The following is a 12240-nucleotide window of genomic DNA, read 5'->3' on the forward strand; positions in this document are numbered from 1 at the left end:
AACAGTACAAATGGCCTAAGATTATATTAGTAAGAGTAGTGTATACTCTCAATGTGGCTTGCTTTCTTCCCCTTCTGGTAGCTTTTCCAGGTGATTAAATAGGGACTTGTGTCCATTAAACAAAAATAGCAAGGGAAGAAGAAGAAACTGCATCCTATTTCACAGCCAACTACATGGAGACAGAAGTCACAGAGATGAGGTAGACAGTGGCAGGCATTAGAGAGAACAGGTTGAAACCTAAAGCCTGCTACAAGTAAAGAAACATACCATTGAAAGTTTTGCAGTTCTTGTAAATATACAGTGTATTGGGAGGTCTCACTCTTCCCTCCCTCTTATGATAGGTCTTGGAAAAGTTTTGTGGAAATGCAATCCCAGAGTGATTCATATCTTAACCACTTCCATTACTCATACAATCCATTCAGTTAAGGTACAGTCACTGAACAATTATTTTTGTGCTATATAATGTTCCAAAAAGGGGTCAAGATATTTAAAAAAACTTTATTCATTTAATAAATTGGCGTATTCCATAATCAGGTACAATATTAGGGGACAGAAGGATATAGTAGCCAAAAAGACAAGTGTAGTCTCCACACATATGCAAATTATAGCAAGTTAAATAGAGACATGCAATAAACAGAAAGTCACACAAATGACCAATTATTTGTACTTGTAGGGTTATAAGAGCCAAGTGGGAGGGCATAAAAATTAATTATGAAAGTGGGAAGGTGCCACAGGCATACTTAACCAATTTCACAATTTGCCAACGGCTAACTTTTGCTAAGTCTAATACAAGGCTTTGATTTTACATTTGATGAAATTTCCCAACATGCTCCTATGATCAGCTCAGGGAACAGACACTGCCCTAAGAGTGCCTGTTATTGACAAATCTTTGGTCTTCTTTCCAGAATTATCAGAGTTTGGATGAAAGTGAGAAAATAAATTTGTGGGGACTTGCTCCTCGAGACAGGAGAGACATTTTCAGTTGAAGGAATTTGTTCTGGGATTCCAGGGGAGAGTTCAATCCTTTCAGGCTGGTATAGCCATAGCCAGTTCACCTTCATGCTTGAGGCTCCAAAAACCCAACCATATTTAGCTGAATGATAATGGGGGTTGTATGAGTTTATTCTTGTGTTGCTATAAAGAACTACTTAAGATTGGGTAATTTATATACAAAAACATGTTTAATTGGCTCATAGTTCTGCAGGCTGCACAGGGAGCATGGCTGGAGAGGCTTCAGGAAACTTTCAAACATGGTAGAAGGCAAAAGGAGAAGCATGCACTTGTTCTCATGGCAGGAGGGGAAGCATGCACTTATTCCCATGGCAGGAGGGGAAGCATGCACTTATTCTCACGGCAAGAGCAGGAGGAAGAGAGAGAGTGAAGGGAAAGGTGCCACACACTTTACAACAACCAGAGTTCATGAGAACTCACTCACTATCACAAGAGAAACAAGGAGGAAGTCTGCCCCTGTGATTCAGTCACCTCTCACTAGGCTCCTCCACCAACACTGGGGATTAAAATTTGACATGAGATTTGGGTGGGGACACAGAGCCAAACCATATCATTCCACCCCTGACCCCTCCCATACCTCATGTTCTTTTCACATTTAAAACACAATAATGCCTTCCCAACAGTCCCCTAAAGTTTTAACTCATTCCAGAATTAACTCAAAAGTCCAAGTCCAAAGTCTCATCTGAGTCAAGGCACATCTCTTCCACTTCTGAGCCTATAAAATAAAAAACAAGTTAGTTAGTTCCAAGGTACAATAAAGATACAGGAATTGGGTAAATTTTTTTGATCAAAAGGGATAAATTGGGCAAAACAAAGGGACTACAGGCCCCATGCAAGTTTGAAACCCAGCAGAGCAGACCACATGCAAGTCTGAAACCCAGCAATGCCAGCCTGCGAGGGTGAAACTGCCCAGGGCCTTAAGAGTTCACCTGTTGCATCAGTGTGGCCTGGATGTGAGACATGGAGTCAAAGTAGATAATTTTGGAGCTAATCTTAAAACTCCAAATCTTAAATCTCCAAAATAATCTTCTGGGCAGCTTCACCATTGTGGTTCTGCAGGGTACAGGCACTGCAGCTGCTTTCACAGGCTAGCATTGAGTGTCTGTGGCTTTTCCATGTGAGTAGTGCAAGCTGTTGGTGGACCTACCATTCTGGGATTGCAGGATGGTGGCTCTCTTCTTCCAGCCCCACTAAGCAGTGCCCCAGTGGGGACTCTGTCTGGGGGCTCCAAATGCACATTTCCTTTCCACACTGCCCTACTAGAGGTTGTCTATGAGCACACTGCCCCTTTAGCAGACTTAAGCCTGGACATCTAGGCACACTGCCTCTTCAGCAGATTTCTGCCTGGACTTCTAGGCATTTCCATACAGCCTCTGAAACCTAGATGGCGGCTCTTAAGCCTCAACTCTTGCCCTCTGCACACCTGAAGGCTTAACACCGCATGGAGATCTTGGTGTTTTCTGGCTTGCAGCCTCTGTAGCAGTGGCCTGAGATGTGTCTGGGGCCCTTTTAACCATGGCTGGAGCTGGAACAGTTGGGACACAGGGCACCATGTCCCAAGGCTGCACAGAGCAGTGGGGCCCTGGGCCTAGCCCATGAAAGCATTTCTTCCTCCTGGGCCTCCTGGCCTGTGATGGGAGGGGCTGCAGTAAAGGTCTCTGAAACGCCTTGGAGGCATTTTCCCCATTGTCTTGGCTATTAACATTCAGTTCCCCTTTACTTATGCAAATTTATGCAGCCAGCTTGAATTCTTCCCCAGAAAATTGGTTTTGGTTCTGCATAAACTTCAAAATTGGTTCTGTAGGCTGTACAGGTAGCATGGATGACTCAGGAAACATTCTGTCATGTCAGAAGGCCAAAGGGGGACTAGGCATATCTTTACATAGCAGGAGCAGGAGGAAGAGAGAGAGTGAAAGGGAAGGTGCAACACACATTACAACAATCAGATCTCTTGAGAACTCACTATCATGAGAACAGCAAAAGGGAAGTCTGCCACCATGATTCAACCACCTTCCACTAGGCCCCTCCTCCAACACTGGGCATTAAAATTTGACATGAGATTTATGTGGGGACACAGTGCCATACCATATTAGAAGTCTATCTTAAAAAGTCTGTGGTTTATAAAGAGATCCTGTGAGGAGGCCATACAGTACAGTAGAGTGACAGAGGGTAGAGTCTCTGATGGGAAACTGCCTGAGTTTACTCTTGACTGCCATTTACAGATGATAGAATCATGGGCACGTCGCTTAACCTTGCTATGGCTCATCTCATGAGCATCATTTCATATACACATTTGGAATAGACCTCAGAAGGTTGTTGTGAGAGTTAAATGAGACAAAACATATAACACACAAAAATGTCCTCTGTACATGGGAAATGCCTGCTAAACATTAGCTATGTTTTTATGTGTAGGTGTATTACATATATAAAACTAATGAATTTCTTTTATGTTATAAGAATACATTTAAATACAAAAATCTCCCTTCCCCAAACCTACTCGTTGCTCTTTTCTTTAAATTAACGTCTTGTTAATTTGCCCAAACCCTAAAGCACAGTACTTTCCTCTGTCCGTTTTCTTTCATCTTTTCTTATCTTCCTGATAATTTCAAAATCCTTGAAGCGCTGTTTCTCTGCCTTTAGCCAAACAAGCTGCCCACTAGGAAGCGCATAAAGACCACCCAGAGCAAAGCAGATCCACCCAACATGAGCTGATGTTGATACTGCCAATCCCAATTTGCCTGGTTCCTGGGAAGCTTTGTATTAAAAAGTGCTGTCACATATTTTTAATTTCCCCAGTGAGTCAGCTCTCCCTCTATGCTGCCCTACTAAAGAACTAGATAATATCAGAATGTGAAAGAAGACACGCTGTTCCAGAACTCAAGTTTTTCGTTCTTCTTGATTCAAAAGTAAATTTGTGAACATGGGGTATTGTGTCATATGAGGAAATGAATTAGGTTAACAAAGAATTAAGAACACAATATTATGTTCACAGTTAGACCACTTTCATGTAGACTGAATTGTACATAATTATTCTAATGTGATTGAATTGGGAAGATTCAAGCACTGTGGCTAAATCTGTATAATCCTTTTTGTTCTTGTTGAAGCAGTTACTTTGTATATTTGAGCATTGTCTTTTTGTCACCTTTACTTGAACCAAATTTATTCAAAGTCAATGGTATTTTCTATTCCTAGAAAGACACTGACATTTTAAGTCATTTCTTTAGGAAAAACTTAAAGTAAATCAGCAAAGTAAGCAAATTACAAGAAAAGCTAACCACGGACTTTTTCTATTGGAGAAAAATAGAATTGAAGTGAATCAATGTTTTAAATATATTTACACTAGTCAGATCAACTTCATGACTAATCCACTCAGCTAAATAGGATGCAATTTGTAAGTCAGTTTACTGAAAAAGCAAAACATGATAGTGCCAGTCAGCTTCTCCCTGAACTTTATTACCTAACTTTTTTAGATCTGCCTTCCCTAAGTCTATAATTAGATAATGGCTTTAATTAAGCCATTGAGCTTTTAACTATAGCAAAAGCTGCTCTGATGCAGTTTCCAAGCCAACTTAATGATAAATCAGAATAAATATAAGCAATCTCACTCACTCACATTACCAGCAATCTCCTTTCTTCCCACAGTATCACTAACATGTGCATAACCAGAAGGGCTTAGAATCAGTTCATCACATTGGTACTTCATCAAATTTGATCTTGGGACTTCTGCATTATAATCAACAATACAATGTAATTCTGCTGGATCTCTTACAGAATTTCCAACACATTTTCAATTGTTATGTATTCCTAGATTATTCAACTGGATTATCTTTCGTGTTATTATTGTCTTTAGATCTCGTTTTAGAGTCTCACCTAGCTCCCAAATTCCCCTACAGCAAGGGTCCTTCTTTCATTTTGCCTGTCATACCTTGCTTAACTAAAGTACTGTACCTGATCTCCAATTCATGCCTATGGCCTTGATGGGGGACAAATCATCCAGAGGCTTCACCCCTTACACTCTGTACTCTGCCCAGTGAGGACGGCACAGGGGCAGAATGATGTACACTTTAGATTGGACTACTAACCTTTAGAAGTCTTAGCCATCTCATCTAAATTGCCTGTTTCCCCCAGCCCCTGACTCTAATAGCCTAAGATTGTACACATTTTCAAAGATATACTCATACCCTTCTATTATAGAAGTAGCTCTCTGAATTCATGACATTTAAAATTTTAAGTTAAATGACAGTCAGAAGACTAGCATGTCTTCATGTGTTTTCTTTAATTCCACTAAAAATAAGACGAAAGCTATATGGTAAATATCCTATATGAAATAAATAATAAAAATAAAACAATGAGAAAGTTATAGTACACAGAGGGAATGATCATAAATGGATTTTTTTCAAACATGATCAATGCAAACACAAATATTTAAAACTAAAATAATTTAACATTAATGATCTTCCATATCATTTAAAACAATTTCATTTTACTTTGTTCTAAAATTCTTGGGCATGGCAAGAGAATAAGATCTGTAAATAATGAAGGGAACATAAGACATTCCATAAACAAAACATTAATGGTAGAATTAAACGTATCAAGAAGCTTTAAATAAGTAGGCCCATTTCAAAGATTTCAGAAGCAAATTGTAAAAACTATATTCCCTGGTGTAAAAATTATTGCTTCTCAAAAACTGATTCATATCATAGGAGGCAGAGCAAGATTACAGAAGAGAGAGCTTCACCAAACATCTTCCATGCAAAGACACCAAGTTAACAACTATCTACACAGAAAGAAACACCTTGTAAGAACCAAAAATCAGGTAGGCACTCATAGTAACTAGGTTTTTGTTTGTTTGTTTTATTTTTTGTGGGTTTTTTTGTTTTTGTTTGTTTGTGTGTTTTTTTGAGACAGAGTCTAGCGCTGTTGCCCAGGCTAGAGTGCAGTGGCATGATCTCAGCTCACTGCAACCTCCTCCTCCCGGGTTCAAGCAATTCTTCTGCCTCAGCCTCCCAAGTAGCTGGGACTACAGGTGCACACCATCATGCCTGGCTAATTTTTGTATTTTTAGAAGAGACAGGGTTTCACCATATTGGCCAGGCTGGTCTCGAACTCCTGACCTCATGATCTGCCTGCCTCAGCCTCCCAAAGTGCTAGGATTACAAGCATGAGCCACTGCACCTGGCCAGTACCTGGTTTTAACTTCATTTTGCTGAAAGAGGCACTAAAGAGATAGAAAAAGCAGTCTTGAATCGCCAAAACCATCACTCCCCCACTCCATGCAGCAGCAGTGTGCTGAGATCATCTCTGGGCATTAGGTGAGGAAGAACACAGCAACTGTAAGGCACTGAACTCAGTTCAGTCCTGTTAGAGCAGAAAGAAAAGCTGAACCAAACTCAGCTGATGCTTACCCACAGAGGAAGCCTTTAATCAGCCTTAGCCAGAGGAGAATCACCTTCCCATGGTCTGAACTTGTGTGCCTACAAACCTCGTCACGCAGGGCCAAAGTGCTCTCAGTCTCTCAGTAAATTTGAAAGGCAGTCTAAGTCACAAGGACTTCAACTCTTAGGCAATTCTAGGGCTGAACTAAGCCCAGAGACAGTGGACTGGGAGGGCACACAACAAACTGAGACACTAGCTGGGGCAGCCAAGGGAGTGCTGGCACAACCCCTTCCCTAATCTCAGGCTGCACAGCTTGTGGTCCCAAAAGGGACCCCTTCTTCTGCTTGAGGAGAGGACAGGGAAGAGTGGGGAAAACTTTGTCTTGCATCCTGAGTATCAGCTCAGCCACAGCAAGATAGGGCACTGATAACAGTGATAAAGCCCCCATTCCAGGCCCTAGCTCCAAGATAACATTTCTAGACACACCCTGGGCAAGAAGGAAACCCATAGACTTGAAGAAAAGGACTTAGTTCTACCAGCATTCATCACTTGCTTACTGAAAAGCCCTTGGACCCTGAATAACCACCCAGCTATTACTGAAAGGCATTGAGTGACCCTCTGAGACTTACTGGTTTAATGTACCAAACAGTCACAAGGGGGTAGAGCACTAAGCAGACTCTTTGGGCTCACAGTTCCAGGATATGACTCTTTGATGGCAATTTCTGGATTTACCATGGGCCAGAGGTGAGTCCCAGGCCAGGCAACGTTCACCACAAGCTGACTTAAGAGATCTTGGCCCTTAAGGGAACATGGTTGGTAGTCTGGCAGTACTCCCTGTGGCCAAGGGTGGCAGTGGTTGCTCGGTGAGTCTCCTCTGCCTTTGGAAAGGGGACGGAAGAATGGGAAGGACTGCATTTTGTGTTTTAAGTGCCAGATCAGCCTCAATATAATAAAATACAAGGTAGACTTCTAAAGTTTTTGAATCTAGCCTAAGAATCCTGAATGGCACTTCTGGACCCACTCAGGGCCTAAGGGACCCTGACACACTAAAGGAAGAACACAGGCTTGGCTGGCTTTTCCACCTGCTGATTGTAGAGCCCCAGGACCTTGAACAAACAGAGACAGTAGCCAGGGAGTAGTTACAGCAGGCCTTGGGCAAGTTCCAGCACTGTGCTAGCTACAGGTCTGACCCAGCACAGTAATAGTGGCGGTGGTCACAGGGGTGCTTGTGTTACTCCACCTTCCTCCCAGCTTTAGGTGGCTCAGAACAGAGAGAGAGAGAGAGAGAGAGAGAGAGAAAGAGAGAGAGACTCTTTATGTTTGGGAGAAAGTAAACAAAGAAAAAGAGAACAAGAATCTCTTCATTGTAATCTATAGAAATTCCTCACATATTATCCAAGACAATCAAGACAGTACCTCTATGAGTCTACAAGAATCACAGTGCTACTGGGTTGAGGTGCTCCTTAAAGCAGAAACAGCTTAGATCATAGCACCCAAGTTCTTTCAAATATCTGGAAAGCCTTTCCAAGAAGGATGGTGAAAAATAAGCCCAGACAGCAAAGACTACAATAAATATCTAACTCTTCAGTGCCCAGAAACCAAAGAACATCTACTTGCATCAGCACCACCCAGGAAAACATGACCTCACCAAATAAATTAAACAAGGCACCAGGGACCAATACTGGAGAAACAGAGATAGGAGATCTTCCAGGCAGAGAATTCAAAATAGCTGTGTTGAGAAAACTCAAAGAAATTCAAGATAACATGAAAAAAAATTCTGAATTCTATCACATAAATTTAACAAAGAGATTGAAATAATTTAAAAGAATAAAGTAGAAATTCCAGAGCTGAGAAATGTGATTGGCACATTGAAGAATGCATAATAGTCTTTTAATCACAGAATGGATCGAGAAGAAGACAGAATTAATGAGCTTAAAGACAGGCTTTATTTGAAAATACAAATCAACAGGAGAAAAAAAACAATGAAGCATGCCTACAGGGTCTGGAAAATAGCATCAAAAGGGCAAGTTTAAGAATTACGGGCATGAAAGAGAAGGTAGAGAAAAAGATAGGGGTAGAAAGTGTATTCACAAGAATAATAACAGGGAATTTCCACAATTTAGTGAAATATATTGATATCCAATTACAAGAAGGTTATAGAACACCAAACAGATTTAACAAAAAGACTACTTCAAAGCATTTAACAATTAAACTCCCAAAGGTTAGGAATAAAGAAAGGATCCTAAAAGCATCAAGAGAAATGAAACAAATAGCATGCAATGGAGCTCCAGTACATCTGGAAGCAGACTTTTCAGTGGAAACCATACAGGCTAAGAAAGAGAGGCATGAAATATTAAAAGTGCTGAAGGAAAACAACTTTTACCCTAGAATAATATATCTGGTGAAAATATTCATCAAACATGAAAGAGAAACACTTTCCCAAACAAACAAAAACTGATAGATTTTATCAATACCAGACCAGTCTGACAAGAAATGCTAAAGGGTGTACTTCAATCAGAAAGAAAATAACATTAATGAACAATAAATAATCACCTGAAGGTACAAAACTTCCTGGTAATAGTAAGTACATAGAAAAACACAGAATATTTTGACACTATAACTATGGTGTGTAAACTATTCTTATCCTAAGTAGAAAGAATAATTGATGAACCAATCAAAAGTAATAACTACAACAACTTTTCAGGACATAATCAGTACAATAATACAAAAATTAAAAACAACCAAAATTAAAAGGTGGAGGGATGAAGTTAAGGTGAATTTTTGTTAGTTTTCTGTCTGCTTGTTGGTTTGTTTATACAAATATTATTTAGTTGTTGTCAGGTTAAATTATTTGGTTATAAGATACTATTTGCAAGCTTCATAGTAACCTCAAACCAAAAAACATACAATGGATACACAAAACATAAAAAGCAAGAATCTAAATAATATCACCAGAGACAATTACCTTCACTAGAGGAAGACAGCAATGAAAGAAAGAAGAAAGAGAATATTACAAAACAATCACAAAAAAATAACAAAATGGCAGGAGTAAGTCTTTACCTATCCATAATAACATTGAATGTAAATGGACTGAACTCTCCTATCAAAAGACATAAACTGACTATCTGGATGGAGAAACAAGACCTATTGATCTGTTGCTTACAAGAAACACACTTCACCAAAAAACACACAAATAGACTGAAAATAAAGGGATAGAAAGAGATATTTCCTGCCAATGAAAACCAAAAAAGAACAAGAGTCATTGCACCTATGTCAGACAAAATAGATTTCAAGACAAAAACTATTTGAAGAGACAAAGAAGCTTACTATATAATGATAAAGGTGTCAATTCAGCAAGATAATATAATAATTTTAAATATATATGCACCAAACACTGGAGCACCCAAATATATAAAGGAAATATTATTAGGGCTAAAGAGAGAGATAGACCCTAATACAATACTAATTGGAGACTTCAACACCCCTCTTTCAGCATTGGACAGATCTTCCAGACAGAAAATCAACAAAGAAACATCAGACTTAATCTGTGCTACAGGCCAATTGGATCTAATAAGTATTTACAAAACATTTCATCGAACAGCTGAAGAATATGCATTCTTTTTCTCGGCACATAAATTATTCTCAAGAATAGACCACGTTAGGTCACAAAGCAAGTCTTAAAAAATTAAACAAAATGAAATACTATCAAGCATCTTCTCTGACCACAATGGAATAAAACTAGAAATTAATAACAAGAGGAATTTTGGAAACTATACAAATACAAGAAAATTAAACAATATGCTCTTGAAGGACAAGTGGGTCAATATGAAAATTAAGAAGAAAATTGAAAAATTTAGTGAAACAAATGCTTATGGAAACACAACATACCAAAACCTATGGGTTATAGCAAAAGCAGTACTCAGAGGGAAATTTATTGCTATAAATGCCTAAATCAAAGAGAAGGAAAAAACTTTAAATAACTAGTCTAATTATGTATCTTAAAGAACTAGAAAAAGCAGAGTAATCCCCCCAATAGAAGAAAAGAAATAATAAAGATCAGAACAGAAATAAAATTGAAATAAAAAAACACAAAAGATCAATGAAACAAAAATTTGATTTTGTAAAAGTTAAACAAAATTGACAAACTTTTACCCAGACTAAGTAAAATAGAGAGAAGATCCAAATAAATAAGTCAGAAATGATAAGGAGAAATTACAACTAATACTGTAGAAATTTAAATAATCATTAGTGGCCACTACGAGCAACTATATATCAATGAAATGGAAAATCTAGAAGAAATGGATATATACAAACTACCAAGATTGAGCCAGAAAGAACTCCAAAGTCTGAACAGACAAATAACAAGCAATGAGATTGACTCTGTAATAAAAACTTTTTCAGTAAAGAAAAACCCATCACGTAATGGCTTCACTGCCAGATTTTATAAAACATTTAAAGAAGAACTAATACTAATCCTCTTCAAGCTATTCTGAATAATAGAGGAGGAAGGAATACTTCCAAACTCCTTCTAGAATGCCGGTATTACTCTGACACCAAGACCAGACAAAGACACATCAAAAAAAGAAAAGTACAGGCCAATATCTCTGATGAATATTGATGCAAAAATTCTCAACAAAATACTAGCAAACCAAATTCAACAATACATTAGAAAGATCATTCATCATGTCAAAATGGGATTTATCCCTGGGATGCAAGGATGATTCAACATATGCAAGTCAATCAACATGACATCATATCAACAGAATGAAGGATAAAAACCATATGATCATTTCAATTGATGCTGAAAAAGCATTTAATAAAATTTGACATCCCTTCATGATAAAGACCTTCAAAAAACTAGGGATAGAAGGAACACACACCTCAACATAAAATTCATATACAAAAGATCTACAGCGGGTATTGTACTGAATGAAGAAAAAGCTGAAAGTGTTTCCTCAAAGATCTGGAACACAATGATGCCTGCTGTTACCTCTGTTTTTCAGCATAGTACCAGAAATCATGGCTAGAGCAGTCAGACAAGAGAAAGACATAAAAGGCATCCAGATGAAAGGAAGAAGTCAAATTTTTCTCATTTGCTAATGATTTGATCCCATATTTGAATAAAACCTAAAGAATCCACAAAAAATATTAAAACTGATAAAAAAGTTCAGTAAAGTTGCAGAATATGGTATCAACCTACAAAATTTAGCAGCATTTCTAAATAGCAGCAGTAAACAATGTGAAAAACAAATAAAAAACCAATCCCATCTAAAATAGTCACACATAAAATTAAATGCCTATGAATTAACTGAACCAATGAAGTGAAAGACCTCTATAATAAAAACTATAACATGCTGATAAAGGAAATTGAGAGGACACCAAATGTGGGAAAAATATTCTACGTTCATAGATTGGAATAGTTGATATTGTTAAAATGTCTACACTACTCAAAGCAATCTACAGATTTAATGCAATCCCTGTCAAAATGTCCATGATAGTCTTCACAGAAATAGAAGAAACAATCCTAAACTGTATGTGGAACCACAAAAGATGCATAATAGCCAAAGCTATCCTAAGCCAAAAGAACAAAACTGGAGTAATCACATTACTGGTCTTCAAATTATACTACAGAGCTATAGTAACCAAAACAGCATGGTACTGGCATAAAAGCAGGCACAAAGACCAGTGGAACATAACAGATAACCCAGAAACAAATCCACACACCTACAGTGAACTCAGTTTTGACAAAGCTGCCAAGAACACACACTGGTGAAAAGAGTTTCTTCAATAAATATGCTGTGAAAACTGAATGTCCATATGCAGAAGAATGACTCTAGACTCCTATCTCTTGCT

The 12240-nt window shown here is 38.3% G+C and overlaps 1 long non-coding RNA gene across 1 annotated transcript in view; it reads right to left on the minus strand.

Moving 5' to 3' along the window:
• Positions 1-1627: 1627 nt before the first annotated feature.
• Positions 1628-12240, minus strand: part of LOC107986108 (uncharacterized) — a 279502-nt gene continuing 268889 nt past the window's right edge. Inside the window, exon 4 of the long non-coding RNA XR_001740831.1 lies at positions 1628-1726. This is a non-coding gene — a long non-coding RNA (uncharacterized LOC107986108). The remainder of the gene's footprint in view (positions 1727-12240) is intronic.

The sequence above is a fragment of the Homo sapiens genome, chromosome 3 (assembly GCF_000001405.40).
Source record: "Homo sapiens chromosome 3, GRCh38.p14 Primary Assembly".
NCBI lineage: Eukaryota > Metazoa > Chordata > Mammalia > Primates > Hominidae > Homo > Homo sapiens.